The sequence below is a fragment of the Homo sapiens genome, chromosome 10 (assembly GCF_000001405.40).
Source record: "Homo sapiens chromosome 10, GRCh38.p14 Primary Assembly".
Lineage (NCBI taxonomy): Eukaryota > Metazoa > Chordata > Mammalia > Primates > Hominidae > Homo > Homo sapiens.
This window is the reverse complement of record NC_000010.11, coordinates 117193658-117214829: the sequence shown is the minus strand read 5'-3', so window position 1 is coordinate 117214829 and position 21172 is coordinate 117193658. Positions and strand designations below refer to the sequence as shown.

The window sequence follows — 21172 nt, the reverse complement described above, 5'->3', positions numbered from 1 at the left end:
ACAAGGGGCAGGGGGGCACAATGGACCATTTCCTTAGAACCATGGAAGAATTCCAGCTAGCAAATAAGCAAATAATCATGACCTTTAATTTGCATAATGTGCATCCCTGACAACCACCATGTTTGCATTTGAACAGGAATTGCTATTGCCTTAAGAAGGGAGTGGCTGAGAGGTTCAGTACCACTTGTAATGAATTTACCTCTGTGTTTCTGAAGATGCTGCTGATTCATCTTTGGATACTCTGAGCCTGGAAGATAGCCAGCATTCAGTGAATGTTTGTTGAACTGAAAGAACAGCCCTTCAGTGCGATCATGGGCTCCTACTTGAGTGGCCAGTGTTGATTGCATCTGGGTTCAAGGTTTTTCTATACCTTAATTGGGCTAATGTGGTCTGAGAAACTCCACAAAAACCTTAGTGCCTATGACTACTCCCTGAAATCCCACTATTGGTGCTCTGTGTCTTTCACTGGTTCTTGCCTATACCTTGTCAATTCCATTGCCAGAGGTAGGTCTTCAAGGGTTGGAGGGGCAGAAAGCCTGCTAGTTGTAGGGAAGAGGGGAAAGATCCAGAAAGACCCCTCTGAGAGATAGCCTGGGCATTGGCCAAGACCTAAGATGAATAAAGATTTAAAAGACAGGTGCTTATTTTATTTTCAAATGGGAACCTCCTGGCATTTTTTCTTGGTTCTTGCAATTTGTATGCTATACCCTGTAGCAATGTTCACCATTTACCCAGGAACTGATTGATTTTGCTAATCATAGAACACAGAGTGATTTTTGCAAGACTCAAGCAAGATCTAGTCATAAAACATGTCTAGGCTGGGCGCAGTGGCTCATGCCTATAATCCCAGCACTCTGGGAGGCCGAAGCAGGCAGATCACCTGAGATCAGGAACTCAAGACCAGCCTGGCCAACATGGCAAAACCTCTACTAAAAATACAAAAATTAGCCAGGTGTGGTGACGCACACCTGTAATCCCAGCTACTTGGGAGGCTGAGGCAAGGAGAATTGCTTGAACCTGGGAGGTGGAGGTTGCAGTGAGCCGAGATTGCACCATTGCACTCCAGCCTGGGTGACAGAGTGAGACTTCATCTCAAAGCAAACAAAACAAAACAAAATTTCTAATAACCCACAAGGGAAATAGTAAAAGACTTGTGCTATTCCATGTGTGTGCCAACCAGTTCACATACTGACTTGTTTACATCTTCTCCCAGGCTGGAGTCCCCAGGAGTGACCCTGAAACAAGGATATGAGTGAGTGGTTCTTTTGGAGGTGATCTCAGGAAGCCCAAGTAAAGGAGTGAAGAAGTGAGACAGGGAGATGAAGGGGGTCAATACAGGGTGTGCTGATGAGCAACTGGGGCTCAAGTCCACTGGGGAACTTGGGGAGACAGTGTCAGTAGCGAACATGCCACAGAGTTATTCCATGGGAGGGGAAAGGGAGCTGGGCACCATATATCCACCAGCTTCTATCAGTCATTGATTGAGGGCTGCTCCCAGAAGCATTAACTCCTTGGCACTTCTAGCTACCCCTGCACATGTCCATGCTTTCATGGCCAGAGAAAATGATCAGGCAAAGGGAGTTGGAGTGCTAAGACATATGGGTAGGGCACCTGCAGCATCTACTACACAGACCAGCCCATTCACATGCCAACCCATCCATGAACAGCCTAGGATTGTGTCTACCTAACAAGTGCCAGCATTCCTGTGTAATAATCCATTCATTTAGGCATCAACGTTTTCAGAGGCCAACTCATTCCGGAGGCACCATTCATACTCTAATTAGTGAGAAAAGTGATCTATACAGAATGTGGCCACTGGAAATATCTCAGGCTCCTGTGAATACAGGTGTCAGTTCCACTCTGCAGCATCAGTGTATTTCAAGTGATTTTTCCCTGGTAGTATGTTTTAATTCCTTGTTTTTTATTTTTAGTGTATCTATGTTAGGTTTTGTGGTTGCTTTGTGGTTACCATGAGGTTTACAAAAAACATCTTATTTGAATAGATAACAATTTTGGTCACAAAGAAAAGAAATAAAAAACTAAAAACCTCTACACTTTAACTCCATTCCCCTATATTCTGACTATTTATTGTCTTAATTTACATCTTTTTATATTGCCTATCTCTTAAGTTGTTCTAATTATTATTTTTGATATATTTGTCTTTTAGTCTTTTAGTCTTCATACTAGAGAAATGAATGGTTTACACACCACAATTACAGTATAAGGGTATTCTGAATTTGTCTGTGTATTTACTTTTACCAGTGAGTTTTGTACCTTCAGATGATGTCTTTGTTGCACATTAATGTTCTTTTCTTCCAGATTAAAAACTCCCTTTAGCAATTCTGTAAGACAGTTCTGGTGATTATGAATTTCCTCAGCTTTTGTCTGGGAAAATCTTTATCACTCTTTCATGTTTGAAGGATCATTTTGCTGGGTACAGTATTCTCAGTCGACAGGTCTTTTTTATCTTCAGCACTTTGAATATGTCATCCTTCCTACTCTGGGTGTGTATGCTTTCTGCTGAGAAGTCTGTTGCCAGATGAATCAAAGCTCCTTTATATGTTATTTGCTTCTTTTCTCTTGCTGCTTTTAGCATCTTCTCTTTGTCCTTGACCTTTGAGAGTCTGATTATTCTATGCTTTGGGGTAGTTTTATTTGGGTTAAATCTCTTTGGTGATTTTTGACTTTCCTGTACCTGGCATATTTATATTTTTCTCTAGACTTGGAAAGGTTACAGTTATTATTTCTTTGAACAAGACTTCTGCCCCCTCACTCTTTCTCAATTCCCTCTTGAAAGCCAGTACTTCTAGATTTGCTCTTCTGAGGCTATCTTCTAGATTTTGTAGACATTCTTCACTCCTTTCATTCTGTTTTGTTTTCTCTCCTCTGATTGTGTATTTTCAAATAGCCTGTCTTTGAGTTCATTAATTATTTCTTCTGCTTGGTCTGTTCTGTTGTTGAGACTTTGTGAAGTGTTTTTTAGTTCAGCTAACGTACTTCTCAGTTCCAAGATTTTTGTTTGATATTTTAAAAATTATTTTAATCTCTTTGTTAAATTCCTCTGGTAAGTTTCTGAATTGCTTTTCTGTGTTACCTTGGAGTTTGCTGAGTTTCCTCAAGACTGCTATTTTGAATTCCTGATCTGAGAGCTCACAGATTGCCATCTTGCTTGGGTCAGTCACTCACTGGCTCCTTGCTTTGTCCATTTGAAGAAGTCATGGTTCCTGGTGTTAGCAGTTTCTTATGCATGTACACATATGTCTTCACATTGAAGGTTTAGTTATTTATTCATCTTTGCTGCCTGGGTTAGTTTGGTCTCTTTAGCATATGTGTGTTTAGATGTTCTGTGCACTTGGCCTATTGATTCCTTTAGCTCTAGATCACTGCCTCCTTTTCAGCACTAAATAACACCCTAAGCCCAGGTTTGTCATGACTCTTGCAAAAGTTCAAAGCTCAGCCTTTTCACAGATAAAGGGCATCAAAGGGGATTCTGCAGCTCTGTGGGGAGGCTGACTAGGGGTTCATGCCCAGAGGGACTGTGGAGAGTGCCTCTTACAATGTGATGCTGCTGAACCACCTCTCTGATTCAGTGTCTTGTTTGTCTGAGATGAAGAGTAGCCCCAGAGTTTCACGCACTGGGCTGCTAGCCCCACCTCCACTGTCTATGTGACTCCAGAGGCTTTCAGGGGTCCCTCACCCTATAGGTATTCGTGATTCTTCCTGTGGGTTGAGGCAGGAAAACTTTCCTGAGTAGGTAGTCAAGATGATGAGGAAGCTGGCTGGCTGCCTTGATCTTATTTTTCCCAGTGTAGAAATGTCCAGGGAACTTTTCTGCGTGGTGACTTACAGTTTGGGGAAGGGATGTCACAGAGGAGTCCATTTTACTACCTTCTGTTCACAGTTTTTCACTTTTCTATGGCCCCAGGGTTTGTCACAGCCTCATTTTGAGTTCTGGGATAGTGGTAATTATCATCTTGGCACTAGATCATTGTTTTTAGTTTTCTATGGAGGACAGTGAAGCCAGATTGCTTCTACTTTGTCATTTTGGTGACACCCGGCATCTATGTATTTTACAGGGGCTGGGATTGGGCTGGTCTTACATGCGTTCATGCAGTCATTCAAGAAAAGAGGTTGTTCGCACTAGTTCTTTTTCAGGTAACAAAGAACAGCTCAGGAAGATTTTAATTTAACTAAAAGTACAACTTCCAAGAATAAAGGTGTTTTGTTTCTCATATTTCAAGAAAAGCAGGGACATCCATAAGGTTGCTTCATCTACATGAGGTGATGCTTTAAAAAAGGAAGACAGATAAATTAATTGGACTTTGGGGAATGGTGATAGTTTTTTTTTCCTAATGCCCTGATACAAAGGGCATTGGCCAAATTTCTGCAGGGCCTCAAGACTGAACTTGGCTCTCATAAGGGATTTGTCTCCAAGACTGAAGGTCTCAGGTGACAGGCTGCATGACCCTGAAAGACAACACAAGAAAACCAGCTCAGCCAGTGTCTGTCACCTGAGAGATAATGAAACCTTCACTTTTTAACAAGGTGGTAAAACTTCCCTTTTGCAAAGAATAGCATAACATTTTTGTATATGTCAATCAGCCTGTTTTGCACCAACTTGAAAGCAATGAACACAATCTCCATTCCAACGATGATATAAATGGAGAAGAACAGGAAGAAGTTAGGGTGTTCTAAAACAGTATCCCCAAACCCAATGGTGGTGAGTGTGACAAAGCAGAAATAGAAGGCATTCTCGAAATCCAACTGTGTCTCCCAGAAGGGGAGGATGGCAGCTGCACAGGAAATGTAGGCAAAAACAATAAGGGCAATGATGGGGAGGGGGATGTCCAACCTCTCCACCTGCTGTCCAACTTCATCCAGGTTGCTGATGATGGAGTATGAGAGTCTTCCCAACACCAGTTCGGGACACGAGTTACTCCTCTCCATGGCTTGTGGGGGCAGTTGCAGTGTGTTCTGTTTCTCTAGCGCATGAGATCTCTCAAACAGCTCCATGCTGCAGCTTGGGCGTGAAGGACATGTGCCAAGTTTGGGGCCTGGAAGCTCTTCAGCACTGATGATGATCTGAGGGACAGCTTCATCTGCGGGCTTGGGGTCCGGTTTTTTCTTGAAGAGAGATTTGGGGCACCACTTGGAGAGGAGGGGGCGGGTAAAGAAAGGGAATTTTCGGAACCGATTATAAGATGTAGATAAGATGGTTGCCAGGATGTCGCCTGTGTCCGTGAGAACGAGGAACATCAGGGGGATACCAAAGAGAGCATAGAGCATGCACAAGTACTTGCCAAGCCTGGTGACGGGGTAGATGTAGCCATAGCCTGAAAAAGAAGATGGAGCTTAGAGTTTGCATCTGGCCCCTTCCCTTTTTCCCCCCAAAAGCTTTAAAGAGACCTTCTGCCATCTCCCCTCCTTGGCATGACATTTTACACATTGTTTTTGAAAATACTCATCTCAAAGCATTCAGCCACTGGTCTGGCATTAGGCTTGCTTTGGTGGGAGGGAAAGGAGTGAAACAGCTTCCCTTTAGGATAAGGAGCAACTGATATCCAGGTCTTTGATTTGAAATGTCCTTGGCAGGGGACCAGCACAGGTTTGGGGTGAACAGATTGCCTTTGATTCTGTTCTGGCCATTTCTGAGCACCCCCCAAAGGAAGGGCTCAGCTGACCTGGAAGGACAGGATGAGTACAAGTGAGAGAGGATGGGTGGCTTTGTAATCATATCCAATGCCACCTTTATCCTCTGTGAAGGTGCTGGCTTTTAAGAAGCCACCCTTGGCTGGGCGTGGTGGTTCATGCCTGTAATTCCAGCACTTTGGGAGGCCAAGATGGGCGGGTCACCTGAGGTCAGGAGTTCAAGACCAGCCTGGCCAATATAGTGAAACCCTATCTCAACTAAAAATAGAAAAATTAGCTGGGCATGGTGTAGGGCGCCTGTAGTCCCAGCTTCTCAGGCGGTTGAGGCAGGAGAATCACTTGAAGCCGGGAGGTGGAGGTTGCAGTGAGCCAAGATTGTGCCATTGCACTCCAGCCTAGGGGACAAGAGTGAGACTCCATCTCAAAAAAAAAAAAAAGCTACCCTTGTCCTCCATAAGAGGACTGAGCTCTTTGTTTCTAAGAGGCACTTATTGTGTTCCCATGGTGTGCTCAGCAGTGTGCACAGTGTTAGGAAAAACAGAAAGATGGAAGATGAATAAAATACAATTGCCCTCAGAGCCATTTGTGGCTTAGCAGATTAGACAAACATGTTCCTAAATGACAGTGAAGCCATTAGCCTCCCAGCATCTAGGTTCTGACTGACCTTGCTTTGAATCCCAGCTCTGCTATTTATGATAATATTACTTGACTGCTCATATTTTCAGGTTTTTTTTATCTGTAAGATGGGGATGACAATACCTACTTTGCGTATTGACTAGCTGGGAGGATTACATGAGGCCCGTGCTTGACACACAGTGCGCGATTAATAACTGGTGGTGTCCTCACCCTCAAGACCTTAGCTGCCTAGTGAGCACTTCCTGTGGGCTGGGTGTCAGTCAGCCTTCATAGGGAGGTATTGTTATCACCATCCACAGGTGGGGAAACTGAAGCACAGAGAAACGAAGTAGCTTGGCCGTGAGCATACATGTGATACACAGTGGAGTTGGGGTCAAATCCACAGGACTCTCAGGTCCCCAACCAGTGCTGTCACCCTCAGGAGCATCCGGGGGCAGGACCATTCAATCAGAGACAACCAGGCAGCCAAGCAAAGGAAGGGATGCGCTGAGGTCTCCATCCCCGTCGGGAGCCCCTCCCCTCCCCTTGCACCTACAGAGGGGCAGGAGCAGACAGACCTCAAACCCCACAGCGCAGGTGGCTAGATCTTCTGGAGCGGGCAAGCATCAATTCGAGCAGAGGACAAAGCTTTTGTATTTAATGCCTGTGTTTAATTTTTGATGTCATAAAGGATGATTAATACAGAAAAACCCAGCCCAATTATGTAAATTAATCTGAAGGCAACTCCTCAGCTGGCTAAGCCCCAACTTCCTCCAGAAGTGCAGCTCCCTGTGGCAAACTTTGGCCTCAGGCTCTGCCCTCCAAGAGCAGGTGGGCATTCAGGTTGCCTACCCTCACCAGGGTCCCAAGTGTAGGGGAGGGAGCTGTGGCTCTCAAAGAGTCTCATCAGTTTGCATCCATTCCAGAGCACTCCATGCCACTCTGGCTGGTTCCACTAAGTACCATTTGATGGCAGCGTCAGTTAACTATGTGCATTCATTCATCCATTCATGCATGCATACATTCAGTATTGAGTGCTTACTGCATGCACTGTGGGCATAGTGCTGAGCAAAGTAGATATGGGATACGATCTCTCTGAGCCTCTGGTTTGGTAAAAGAGGCAGACATTAATTTTAAAAACCACACTAATGAGTATGTAATTACAAATGGAGATCAATAACAGGAAGTGAAAGAGCAGACCATTCCATGAATGATTAGAACAAAGGCACCTATCCTAAGCCATGCGCAATGGCTCACACCTGTAATCCCAGCAATTTGAGGGGCCAAGGCGGACAGATCATATGAGGTCAGGAGTTCAAGACCAGCCTGGCCAACGTGGCAAAACCCTGTCTCTACTAAAAATACAAAAATTGGCCAGGTGTGATGGCGCATACCTGTAATCCCAGCTACTTGGGAGGCTGAGGCATGAGAATCACTTGAACCCAGGGGGCGGAGGTTGCAGTGAGCTGAGATCGTGCTACTGTACTCCAGCCTGGGCAACGGAGCGAGACTCTGTCTCAACAAAAACAAACAAAGGCACCCATCCTGGATTTGGGCCCAGGAAAGATTTTTCCTGTGAGGGGATTTTTGAGCTGATGTTGGGAAGGGGTCACAAACTAGCCAGGTGAAGAGAGAGGAAGCAGCCTGTGCAAAGACCCTATGGCGGGTTCAACAAAGGGTTATCCATACAGTGACAGTGGGGCAACTTGTGTACTGCACATATACCAAGGGGGTGACTGGGAGCTGAAACCTAGCCTCCGTGCACTTACCAAGCTTGGAGCTCAGGGCTCGGGGCACTGGGCTGTGTCTGCCTAGTGAGGGATATGGTTTTCTAACTTTTCACCAAGGTGTCACCCTGAGTGTAGCTGTCACCCAGCTTTAAGGAACCAAGAGAAGGCCAGTGTGTCTAGTGTGCAGGGAGGTAGGGGAGGGGAGCAAGGGGAGGCCGGGAGGTGGGCAGCATCTAAGGGCTTCCATGGCAGATGGGGGAGTGCCTTGATCAGTGTGGAAGGCTGAAAAATGACAGCCCCCAAATATAGCCAAGTCCTAACTCCTAGAATCTGTCAATGCTACCTTATTTGGTAAGTGGGTCTTTGTCGATGTGATTAAGGATCTCAAGATGAGGAAGTTATCCTGGATTGTGTGTGTGGCCCTAGGTACCATTACAAGTGTCCTGATAAGGGAGAGGCTGAGCAAGATATTTTACACAGAGAAGAGGAGGTAATATGACCTCAGAGGCAGAGACAAGAGTGATGTGGCCACGAGCCAGGGGATGCTGGCAGCCACCAGAAGCTGCCAAGGAAGAGGCAAGGAAGGGTCCTCTCCTAGAGCCTTAGAGGGAGTATGGCTCTGCCAACACCTTCATTTTTGAAATCAGTAAAACTGATTTCGAATTTCTGGCCTCCAGATTGTGACAGAATAAATTTCTATTGCTTCAAGCCACTGAGTTTGTGGGAATTTATTACAGCAGCCACAAGAAACTAATAAAATCAGGTTTGTATCTTTTTTTTTTAAGATGAGATCTTGCTCTGTTGCCCAGGCTGGAGTGAAGAGGCGTGCACGACCTTGGCTTACTGCAACCTCCACCTCCTGGGTTCAAGAGATTCTCTTGCCTCAGCCTCCTGAGTAGCTGGGACTACAGGCACCCACCACCATGCCTGGTTAATTTTTGTATTTTTAGTAGAGACAAGGTTTCACCATGTTGGCCAGGCTGGCCTCGAACCCCTGACCTCAAGTGATCTGCCCACCTCAGCCCCCCAAAGTGCTGGGCTTACAGGAGTGAGCCACCACTTCTGACTTGGTTTGCATCTTGAAAAAATCATCCTGACTGCATCACAGACAGTAAATTGTAGGGCTTCAGATAGACGCAGGACAATGAGTGGGGATGCTATGCTTCCTGCCCAGGTGAGAGATAAAGGGGGCTTTGGCTGAGGTGGGAGCTGAGAGGAGAGACCTGTAGGGACTGGCAGAAATCTCAGCAGGACAGGAGGATGGTTTGGATTGGAGTGCCTGAAAGGAGCTGGGATTTGAGCACAGAGCAGGCACTGTGAATCCACCAGAATCTACTGCTGTCTTTGGCAAAGGTGGGTTTACAGGATTATAAACAAAGCCTTTTTGGCTGCCTCTGGGTGAGATACTTTTGCAATCCAAAATATGCAATATGTCACATTCCTGAAAAAGTTTAAAGGAAGCAGGTCTCAGAGAGCACACAACCCCCACAAAGGGAATGTATTAACTATTCTAATTACTGAATGCCAAAATGCATAATGGAACTCATTATTTCTTAGAATGCATTCATATATTTTGATACAATCAGTTCACTGCACTTGGCCTGTGAGTACTTAACAGCTCATGCACTTTCCTTTCTAATCCAAGAGGGATGACCCAGTTGGGAATGACGGGATTGACCGGCCTCACAGCTGTCAGGTATCCTGTGCTTAGCATTAAGGCCAGGTGCATTTCAGATGACCCAGAGATGCAGGGCAGGAAGCAGTATTACCAGAGAGACTTTCAAACACCGTTATTGATTATGGACAGTGCGGAACATTCCCCAACATCCTCTTCCAGTTGTTTGTAATTACTGGGCGGCATGATGTCCTAATTGACTCGTACAATGGGCAGTAGCATTGCCTTCTTGGAATTTAAGCCAAGCTAATGCATTTCCATTAGATCAGTGACTCACAGCCTGGACTCCCACTAGAATCACCTGGAGGGCCCTGGAAAATACTGATGTCTGGGCCTGGTCCCTAGGGATTCTGTTTGTTCTAGGGCAGGGTCCACACATGGGAGCTTGCAAAAGCTCTGCAGGTGACTCTGACATGCAGCCAGGGCACGCTTCTCAAACATTAGCACACATCAGAATCACATGGAGAACTTTCTAAACTACAGATTGCTGGGTCCCACAGCCATGGTTTCTGGCTCAGTAGGTCTAGAATGGCTCCTGAGAATTAATTTGCATTTCTATCAAGTTCCCCAGTGATGTCGATGTTACTCAGGGACCACATTTTGACAACCATTGCAATAGATCATTTCTCAATAGCGGGCAATTTTGCCCCCCAGAGGAAATTTGGCAATGCCTGGAGACTATTGTGGCTGTCATAATGGGTAGGGACAGTGGGGAAAGTGCTATTGCATCTGGTGGGTGGAGGCCAGAGATGCTGCTCAACATCCTACATTGCACAGGAGCCTCCTCTGCAGAGAATTATCCCATGCAAGAAGCTGATAGTGCTGAGGTTGAGAAATCCTGCCTCAGATGCATCTGAGGTTTTTTTCTTTTTTCTTTTTTTTTTTTTTTTGAGACTCTGCCATCCAGGCCAACTCTTGTCACCCAGGCTGGAGTGCAGTGGCGCGATCATGGCTCACTGCAGTCTCAACCTCCAGGGCTCAAGTGATGCTCCCACCTCAGCCTCCTGAGTAGCAGGGACTACAGGTGCACGTCACCACGCCCAGCTGATTTTTTTATTTTTTGTAGAGATGAGGTCTCATTGTATTTCCCAGACTGGTCTCCAACTCTCACCTGATCCTCCCAAAGTGCTGGGATTACAGGCATAAGCCAGGGCACCTGGACCAACCTAAATTCTTGAGGAGGCTAGGCATGGTGGATCAGCGTATAATCCCAGAACTTTGGGAGGCCGAGGCAGGTAGATCACCTGAAGTCAGTAGTTCAAGACCAGCCTGGCCAACATGGTGAAACCCCATTTCTACAAAAATACAAAAATTAGCCAGGCATGGCCGGGTGCAGTGGCTCACGCCTATAATCCCAGCACTTTGGAAGGCCGAGACGGATGGATCACCTGAGGTCAGGAGTTCAAGACCACACTGACCAATATGATGAAACCCCATCTCTACTAAAACTACAAAAATTAGCCATGCATGGCATGTGCCTGTAATCTCAGCTACTCGGGAGACCGAGACAGGAAAATTGCTTGAACCTGGGAGGCGGAGGTTGCAGTGAGCTGAGATGGCACCATTGCACTCCAGTCTGGGCGACAGAGCAAGACTCTGTCTCAAAAAGCTTGAGGAAAACAAAAAGACAAACTTCATAACTTCTAGCCCCTTTGCACAGTTCCGTGTCTTTCTTGGAGTTACTGCTCTCCTGGGCCTATTGTTTCCTCAAAGCATCCCCTGAGCTGTGGGTTCCCCTGGAAAGTCCAGCTTTGAGGTTTGACCTCAGCCCTGCCTGTGACTCCCTCACAGTGATTCCCTCTTAGAGCCTGTGGAATGGGATAGTCACAGCACTTACCTTGCAGGGTTGTGGTGAGAATTGCACAAGAAAAGGCTCCGAAAGCACCTGGACCCCACATCCAGCACGTGCTGAGTGGTGTAGCTGCTGTCCTTATTCTTTCTGTCCCTCACCCATCCCTGCCTGCATCAGCATTCAGGTGAACAAGGCCAGGCGCGGTGTCTCACGCCTCTAATCCCAGCATTTTGGGAGGCCGAGATGGGCAGATCACCTGAGGTCAGGAGTTCAAGACCAGCCTGGCTAACATGGTGAAACCCCCGTCTCTAGTAAAAATACTAAAATTAGCCAAGCGTGGTGGTACATGCCTGTAATCCCAGCTACTTGGGGACTGAGACACAAGAATCACTTGAACCAGGGAAGCAGAGGTTGCAGTGAGCCAAGATTGTGCCACTGCACTCCAGCAAGACTCCATCTCAAAAAAAAAAAAAAAAAAAAAAGCATTCAGGCAAATGGGAGAAACCACGTGGGGGCTGTGAGAGCCCTCCTGGGGCTGTGTGGCTATTTCTGAAGCTGGGTGCAGCAGACACCGGTTGCCCACCCAGCAGCCATTCCCTCCTTTCTTCCCTGCAGACCCACTGCTCCCCCAGCTGATTTAGGAGTAGATCCGATTGGTCTTAGTCATCCTGGTGCTCCAATCCCCTTGCCTGGGACCAGCTTAGAGGCGGCTGGGAGGCCCAGTGGGTGGCTCCTGGGAAGACATCGTCATGGCTGATGAACCATGCAGAGAGACAGCAGCCCTTTCTGTATAAGACACAGTTATGCTTGAATGGACTGTGGACCTTGGTGGCCTCTTGTGGCCCAGTGGGCAGAAGGATGGAGAAAACCTGATGCCCAATGCCATGACTGCGAATGGGCACTGGGCATGACCTGCATATCAGCCTAGAGCTGTCCTCACACTGGACTTCTTACTTGGAAGGTGACATTCTCCTTGCGGTTTAAGCCAGGCGAGTTGGGTTTTCTGTTAGTCACTGCTGAAGGCATCCTGGCTGCCACTTACATACATAGTCATCAGCTGACCCTGAGAGGCAGGTCTAGAAGTGCTTTTGGGTCCCAGTACAAGGCTCAGAGGGGCCACGTCCCTTGCTGGAGATTCCACAGCTCCAACCCAGGCTGGCCACTGTGCTCCATCCTGACCTTCAGCATGAGGGGCCCCAGCCTCTCTCTGCAACCCCTGTGGGCCAGGTCCTCCTAGGGATGGGCACTTGCTCTCTCGAAGGAGGAGAGGGCCCACAGTCCCTTTTGCCAGCCAAGAGGGGCAGGGGCTGAGTGATGGGCCACGCTCCTGGTGAGGGCTCTGACCCAAGAGCTCTGGCCCTGTGGCTGAAGGCAGCTCCATCGCCTCCTGTGTCTCCTGCCTGGCCTGGTTTGGCCCCTCCAACCTGGCCCCACTGCTGCCCCACCAGAAGGGAAGCTGGGGATGGGCCAGCCAGCTCAGAGTGAGCCCTTAATCACCAGAGGGACCTTAGTTACTGCTGACCCAGTGGCATCACGCCCCCAGCCCAGGAGGCCTAACTCTCCTGCAGCATCCCCTACCACTCTCCTGATCATTCTCTGCCCTCCAGCCACAATGGTCATGTCCTTAAAGGGGCCAGTAAACCAACGTTTTGCTCATAAGCACGAGGAAGCATCTCCCTCCCAGTTTCTATGTGCCAGGTGCATAGAAAGTTATACATAGAGGCAGCAGGGTGCTGGGTCTAGACCCAAGTGGCTGGGTTCAAACGCACATGAACTGTGCGACTTTTTGAAACTGACGGACCTGCTGGAGTGGGAACAATAACAGCACCCACCTCTTGGTGAGGATTAGATGAGCTAATCAGCATAAAGGTCTTAGAACAGGGCCTGGTGCATCTTCAGTGCAAAGGTGTCGGCCAGCGCAGCTGCTGCTATTTGTAGGTGTGCAATATAGATTTGAGGAAGGGAGGGAAGAAGAGAGGGAGAGGAGGGCCATCTCCACACCCCAATTCCAGTGTCCTTTGCCACCCAGAAACCCACCCTTCACAGGGCCACCGTGAGGGGGACTGTGGCTTTGCACTTACCCACGGTGCTGAACACCGTGCAGCAGAAAAAGAGCGAGCTCAGGAAGGACCAGTGTGTGGTCCTGTTAAACCACTGAGGCTTCACCTTCTGCAGATGCCCCTGGAGATCCTGTTTTCTGTCTTCCACCACTGGAGAAAGACATGACCAAGAGTTTGAGGAAAAGGTTCTGCTGGTAAAGACAAGCCCCGCCCCAGTGAAAGGGATAGTCTTCCCCAAGGACCAGCAGCCCCTTTGCCTTGTGGTCAGTATCAACACCAAAGCTCGGTGGTCGGAGTCCTCCTTTAAAATATTTCTGCAGCCTGGGTCCTGCCTTCAGTCCCTATGGAGATAAGGAGGCCACTTAGCCCTGTGAGAAGAGCACCTAACAGAGAGGCCCATGGGGGTCCCACCAGAGCTTAGCCCTGGCATTGCTGTGTAGTCTTTGCCTTTTAATTTTCTGAACCGCCATTTCTTTCATCTGTTTTTTTTTTTTCTTGAGACAAGAGTCTTGCTCTGTTGCCAGGCTGGAGTGCAGTGGTGTGATCTCGGCTCGCTGCAACCTCCACCTCCCTGGTTCAAGCAATCCTCTTGCTTCAGCCTCCTGCGTAGCTGAGACTACAGGGGCGTACTACCACACCCATGCCCAGCTAATTTTTGTATATTTAGTTGAGACGGGGTTTCACCTCATTGGCCAGGATGGTCTCAATTTCTTGACCTTGTGATCCACCTGCCTCAGCCTCCCAAAGGGCTGGGATTATAGGCGTGAGCCACCGCGCCCCGCCTCTATCATCTTTCAAAGGAAGATAACTTCTGCTCTGCCTCTCACACAGGGTTCTCAAGTACTAAAAGCAAAAGGCTTTTAGGAAAAGCAAGCTGTTACACAGATGCAAATCATACCCACTCCTGGAGGTCATTACGCTTGATGGAGTTTGCCGGGCACGATGGCTCACGCCTATAATTGCAACACTTTGGAGGGCTAAGGTGGGCGGATCATTTGAGGTCAGGAGTTCAAGACCAGCCTGGCCAACATGGTGAAACCCTGTCTCTACTAAAAATACAAAAATTAGCCGGGTGTGGTGGCACACACCTGTGGTCCCAGCTACTCAGGAGGCTGAGGCAGGAGAATTGCTTGAACCTGGGGAGTGGAGGTTGCAGTGAGCCAAGATCGTGCCACTGCATCCCAGCCTGAGTGACAGAGTGAGTCTCCATCTAGAAAAATAAAAATAAAAACTTGATGGAGTTTGATCATCATACCATCATACTGTGATCTTTGGGCACCAGCTACCTGTGAGTGTCTCCTACAGAGCTGGGAAAACTTGACTTCCTACACATTGGTTCCAAGGCTAACAGAGCAGGGTTGGGAACCCTGGTTTCCCAGAGAGGTTCCTGAATGGCTCGATTGGCCTGAGCCGCCAGTGGGCTTTGGGACCCAGAGGCCACCTGCTAGACTTGTTCGGCTTTAAGAGAATGGCACTGAACCTGGCATGCAGCAGGAAGTCTCTACTCCTTTTAATTGGCACCAGCCTGGGAGTCTACACACATCGATTCTAGACCCAGCTCTAACCCTGATAAGTTCTGTAACTGTGGACAAGAGGCTGCTTTCTGAGCCTCAGTTTCCCCATCAGAGAGACAGCCTGAGATGGTGGTGAAAGGTTCAGGCTCTGGAATCCAGATACATGGGTTTAAGTCCCTGGTTCCATTTTTCTAGTTTGTGAACTTGGACAAATTGCTTAACCTCCCAAGGCCTCAATTTCCTAATCTGTAAAAGAAGGACAACTTTTTGTTGTTTTCTTGTGAGGCTTCTTGTGAGGATTAGGTGAGATAATGTGTGAAGTGTTTGCCACAGGGTCTACATGCAACTAACCCTTATGGAACATTTTAATCTCCAGTGAAAATCGGTACAAAATGGAGTGGGACCAGCTCTGTGTTCCCATACCCTGCTGTGCATTGGAATCACCTGATAAACTTTATTTTTACTTATTTATTTTTGAGACATCTCTGGCTCTGTCATCCAGGCTGGAGTGCAATGGCACAATCACGGCTCACTGTAGCCTCAAACTCGTAGGCTCAAGCAATCCTCCTGCCTCAGCCTCCCAAGTAGCTGGGACTACAAGTGCACGCCACCTCATCTGACTAAATTTTTTAATTTTTTATAGAGACAGGGTCTCACCTTGTTGCCCAGGCCTAGTCTCAAACTCCTGGCCTCAAATGATTCTCCCACCTTGGCCTCCCAAAATGCTAGGATTATGGGCATGAGCCACCATGCTTGGCCTTATCCTTGAAACTTTAAGATTCCCAGCCCAGCCCTGGAGATCCTGATTAAGTGGGTTTGGAGAAGAGCCTGGGGATGTGTACTCTAGGCAGTCTCCCTGGTTGATTCTGATGTGTTGCTGGCTTAGAGAGCCTTGAACTTGCTGGTAGTCTAGGCCCTGCGATGGTGCAGTGTCCCTTTGGCAGCAATCTCCCAGGTCCACTGAGCAGGCTGGCGTCTGTCTGGCAAGGATGCAGGGAGTGGGACCCTCCACAGACAGGAGACTCTGCCTCCCTGGACTGGCCTCTTGTCTCTGGGAGCTGCACCTGTTCCCAAATCAAGGTCTGGGCTGTGGAAGGAGCCCCCACACCAGAGTGGGAGGGGAGGGGCTCCCTGCACCCCATTCTTCTCCTGACTTTTAGTGTCTGGTTTTCCTTTGTTTTTCATTTATCTACTCTCCCTTGTTTTATCTTGCTCTGTTGAATACAATAACAAGCTTCCTTCGAGGAACACAGCAGAGTAGAAACAAGTGACTAAATATGAAGAAAATGCAATGAGGACACTATAAAGTGACTTCTGTCTTCCAAGAGCCAGAATGTTCCTTGTCTCCTCTGCTTCTCACAGGGTCCCTGTGACCACCAAGTCTGAGATTGGGGGTCCCCTTCTCTCCCGCAGACTGAGACCCAGAGAGAACAAAGCTTTGCCTCCACGGATTGCAGAGCAAGCTGGGAGAGCAGCCAGGACAACAGCCAGGACCCCCACCCCTCCCCCCAGGTCTTCTCACAACACCTCCCCACTCCGCTGAGCCAGACAGCAGAAAAGGAGTTTGAAACAGGAAGTGGGGGCGTGGGTGGCAGGTGCTCCTGCTGGAATTTAAATCCAATTTGGGTTGTTCCCTAAATTCTCATCCCTGCAAACTGAATCCTGGGTCAGGCAGACATAGTTCTGAAAAGCAAGCTAGCCCCCCAACCCCAGCCCCAGATTTGCTCACCCATGCACCCCACCCCACCAAATTCCCAGTAATCCATCGTCCCCTGAGGCCACTGGTCTGGATGGGGCTGGGTGCTGAGGCACAGGAAGGGGAGCTGGTCTTTCCTGAGCACCTCAGGGTGCTCAGGGCCTTTCCTGCATTCTTCACAGCAACCCTGAGAGGCAGTTAGTCTCCCCACTTTTCAGAGGAGAAAACAGAGGTTCAGAAAGAAGTTACTCGCTTAAAGTGCCCAGGCATGAGGAGGATCCAGGCAGGCAGCTCCCAGACCCAGCCTCCTAGAAGGCAGCCCTCTGCTCTTGGGGGACTGCTGCCACCACGGAGAAAAGGCCCACCCTGTCCAGGTGAGGCACCTACCTGTTTCACTGCAGTTCAAGATTCTGCAGAGCTCCTCCAAGAACTTCTCAAACTCTCCATCATCTGCTGCCACCAGGACCTGGCCGTCCTCAATGGCAGAGAAGACCACAGCACCCACCAGGGCGTAGGTCACCAGAAAGCAGAGGAAGCAGAGGCCAGGGAAGAGCTTTCCCAGGGCCTCTGGGCAGCATCTCCTGGCCTGGGGGTGCCCCGAGACCTCCATCGTCCCTGAAGCATGCAGGGCAAGAGGAGCTGGTGGAAGAGGCAGGAGCATCTAAGCCCCGCCAGGAAGATGGGGTAGGAGTGCCCGGAGAACAGCCAGGCTCCAGTGCTAAGTGGATGGTGCGTGTGCTTCCCCAAGGACTCAGGAAGCAGCCGGCAACTCATCATGTTCAGTTCTTCCGAACTACTCAGATGGCGCCCTCCCTAGCACCCCAGATTGCTATTGATCCGCTGGGCCGGCCCTGGAGCTGCCTGGAAGGGGCTTTGGGAGGATAGTGTGGTTGTTGTTTTGTGCTACGTTTAATCTTTTCTATGCCCAAACTGCAGTTTTGAATTGCAGATCCCAAACCTGATCTTTGGCGTTTAGTCAAGTGATTCTTTCCTGAGAGCTGTCTGTGACACAACTTGGCTTAGGGTACCTGGTCTTCTGGACAGGTGATAATAGTAGTAACCTATAATAGTAACAGTAACCATAGTAACTAATGCGGCCAGAGCTCAATGGTTTCCAAAGGACCTTTATCCTGTGTGGATCTAATTATTGGTCCCAATTCTTCACTCCCCTGCTGCATACCCCCCCTTGCTGGGGCCTCACGGTGGGCAGAGTGTACTTCCTTGAACTTGGCTTTAGGGTAGGTCATCTCACTTGCTCCAGACAGCTGGGCATTAGCAGATGTGATGCAAGCAGGGGCTAGGCCTGTGCTTGTGCATTTGGACTTGCTTAGCTATGCCTGTGTCTGCCATGAGAAAAGGTGCCCCACCTTTCAATTTTCAGCTCAGAGTAGACCAATGTGCAACTTTCTTTGGTGGTCCTGAATCCAGGTTCATCCAACACCACCTACCTCCACCATACAGCCTAAGTTTGACCCCAACGAGATTAAAGTCTGAGATGCACCGGGAATGATGTTGGTGCCACATCTGTGCTGGCCCCTAAGATCAAACCCCTGTGTCTGTCTCCAAAACACATTGGTAATGACATCGTTAGGGCAACCGGTGATTTGAAGGATCTGAGGATTACAGTGAAACCATTCAGAACAGGCAGGCATAGATTGAGGTAGTACCTTCTGCCTCTGCCCTGATCATCAAAGCCCTCAAGGAACCTCCAGGAGACAGAAAGAAACAGAAAAACATTAAACCCAATGAAAATATCATTTGATGAGAATGTCAACATTGCCTGACAGATGCAGCTCCAATCTTTAGTTAGGGAACTCTCTGGAACAATTAAAAAGATCCCGGGGACTGCACCATCTGTGGGCTGCAATGTTGATGGTCACCACCCTCATGACATCAACAGTGGTGCAGTGGAATGCTCAGCTTGTTAAGCACAAAGGAAAATATTTCAATAAAGGATCATTTGACAACCAGTGGGGATAAAAAGTGCCTCAGATGGCAGCTGTGGAGATGCATGCAGGTTCAGATCCCTCTTCTAGAAAGGACTCGCTGTGCAGCTTTGATGAGCATGGTTCATGACAGCCCCTTTTGTTCTCTGAGGGTTTGCCACCGGTTTCAAGCCCTCTTCTTGGAGAAGCCTGTGCCCACTGACTAAGCAAGGTGGGGACCCAAGGGCCTATTCATTTCTGCCCAATACAGGACTCCTCCAACTTGAGCCTGTTCCAGAGTGGCCCTTTGGTCTACAGAGAGAACTTGTCAGTCTGTGTTATGATCCAGAGGCTTTCCCTGTTCCATCTGCTTCCTTCATTTTCATTTTACAAGTCTTCCCAAAAAAGCTTTTGCAATTGTGACTCTATCTTGGTGTCTGCTTCCCAGAGGATTCAACAGTAGTTGGCACCAGAAGTGGTCTGAGAAAGCCTGCTCAAAAAGCTAAGATGGGGGTCGGGCACAGTGGCTTGCACCTCTAATCCCAGCATTTTGGGAGGCTGAGGAGAGCGGATTGCTTGCGGCCAGGAGTTTGAGACCAGCCTGGCCAACATGGTGAAACCCTGTCTCTACTAAAAATACAAAAACTAGCCAGGCATGGTGGTGCATGCCTGTAATCCCAGCTACGCTTGGAGGCTGAGGCACAAGAATTGCTTGAACCTGGGAGGCGGAGGTTGAAATGAGCTGACATCACACCACTGTAGTCCAGGATGAACAACAGAGTGAGACTCTGTCTCAAAAAAAAAGAAAGCTAAGATGGGGTTTGAGGACTGGGTCCCTTAATACCCAAGTGGTAAGGAGATGGTGTACAGGCAGCCTTTAGTGCAAGGTGGCTGCCCAACTATTAAACTTGTCACCAGCAGTGAGCTGGGATGGCATGTTGACTGGTGCAATGACTCGCATTCGAAACATATTGAAGGAGCGATAAACACAAGATCAATAAGTTTGGATGGCTATTATAAAGTTGCATTGACCCCCTGCAGGCAAGCTTAGAAGAAGGAGGTTCGTAAAACAAACAGCCCGTTACTGCCACCAGTCTCAAGGCTGCAACTGACACTCATCATCTCCTTCCTTCACTATCCATTCTAATTTTTCCTTGCCCTCTGCTACCTCTTCTACTGGTCTCAATGGCTTACCTGATGGCATGACCCTAATCCTCATCCCGGTGGGAGGGGGGTGCGGATTCTGAGCCCTTGGTAACCATATCCTTTTCAGGTTGTGGCTGCTTGTGCTTGTCCACTCACAGACAGTTGGGTAAGAAGTACTAAGAGGTACCCAAGTGAGTCACCTGACCTCCCCCACTATTATTCTCCGCCCTCATTGTGTGAAAGCAGCCCTGTCTCCTCCTGCTGACCAGGTCAATTGCGCCTGTATTAGTCCGTTCTCATGTTGCTGCAAGGATACTACCCAAGACTGGGTAATTTATAAAGGAAAGAGGTTTAATTGACTCTCAGTTCAGCATGGCTGGGGAGGCCTCAGGAAGCTCACAATCATGGCGGAAGGGGAAGCAAGCACATCCTTCTTCACAAGGTGGCAGGAAGGAGAATGAGTGAGTGCCCAGCGAAAGGGGAAGCCCCCTATAAAACCATCAGATCTTGTAAGAACAAACTATCATGAGAACAGGATGGGGAAACCACCTTATGATTCAATTATCTCCATCTGGTCCCTCCCATGACACATGAGGATTATGGGAATTACAATTCAAGATGAGATTTGGGTAGGAACACAGCCAAAACATATCAGCCCCTGACAAGATGGCCACCCATTTTCTTACCTGCTGGTTCCTGGACACGAGGATCCCAAAGTGCCCAGGGAGCAGTCATAAGGTGTATTCAATGTGCCCCTTGCTGGGTTTCCAGGTGAGCGTGTCCCCCTTGGGGACCAAGAATTCTCACACTGCAGAGCCTAGAGTTCTGGAGATGGAAAACAGTGAAGACGACATGTAGTTGTATAATTTTCCATTTGAAATAGAAAGGGGCAAATGCTTCATTGCACCTATACCGCCCTGAAGAAAGAGAAGGCAAGATCTCCAAGCCTTGAGCAAACCAATCTCCTTGCACATCCTGCTCCCACCCTCCATCTGTATCCAGCCTCCCAGATGAGTCAAGTGTAAAAATTCTTTGCCTAGCCCTGAATGCCCAAGGTTTTCTGCTATCATCTTCTCAAAAGTTTTATAGTTTTGTGTTTTACATTTCAGTCAGTGATCCATTCTGAGTTAATTTCTGGTAAGGTGTGAGGTCAAGCTTCACTTTTTTACCTATGGATGCCCGATTGCTCGAGCTTCATTTGTTGAGAAGGTTATCTTCACTCCATTGAATTGGTCTCTCACCTTTCTGAAAAATCTGTTGAACATATTTGTGTGGGTCTATTTCTGGGTTTTCTATTCTGTTCCTTTGACCCATGCATCAATAGCACATAGCCCTTCACCAATAGCACACTTTCTAATTCCTGTAGCTGT

General features: G+C 48.2%; 1 protein-coding gene and 1 pseudogene across 1 annotated transcript; one reads left to right on the top strand and one right to left on the bottom strand.

Moving 5' to 3' along the window:
• On the bottom strand, positions 4531-17341 carry KCNK18 (potassium two pore domain channel subfamily K member 18). Its single transcript, NM_181840.1, has 3 exons — positions 17119-17341; positions 13543-13671; positions 4531-5333 (listed from the first exon to the last, which is right to left on the bottom strand). The coding sequence occupies exons 1-3, from the start codon at positions 17339-17341 to the stop codon at positions 4531-4533; spliced, it is 1155 nt and encodes a 384-aa protein (NP_862823.1).
• RPL12P26 (ribosomal protein L12 pseudogene 26) lies at positions 18098-18705 on the top strand (annotated as a pseudogene).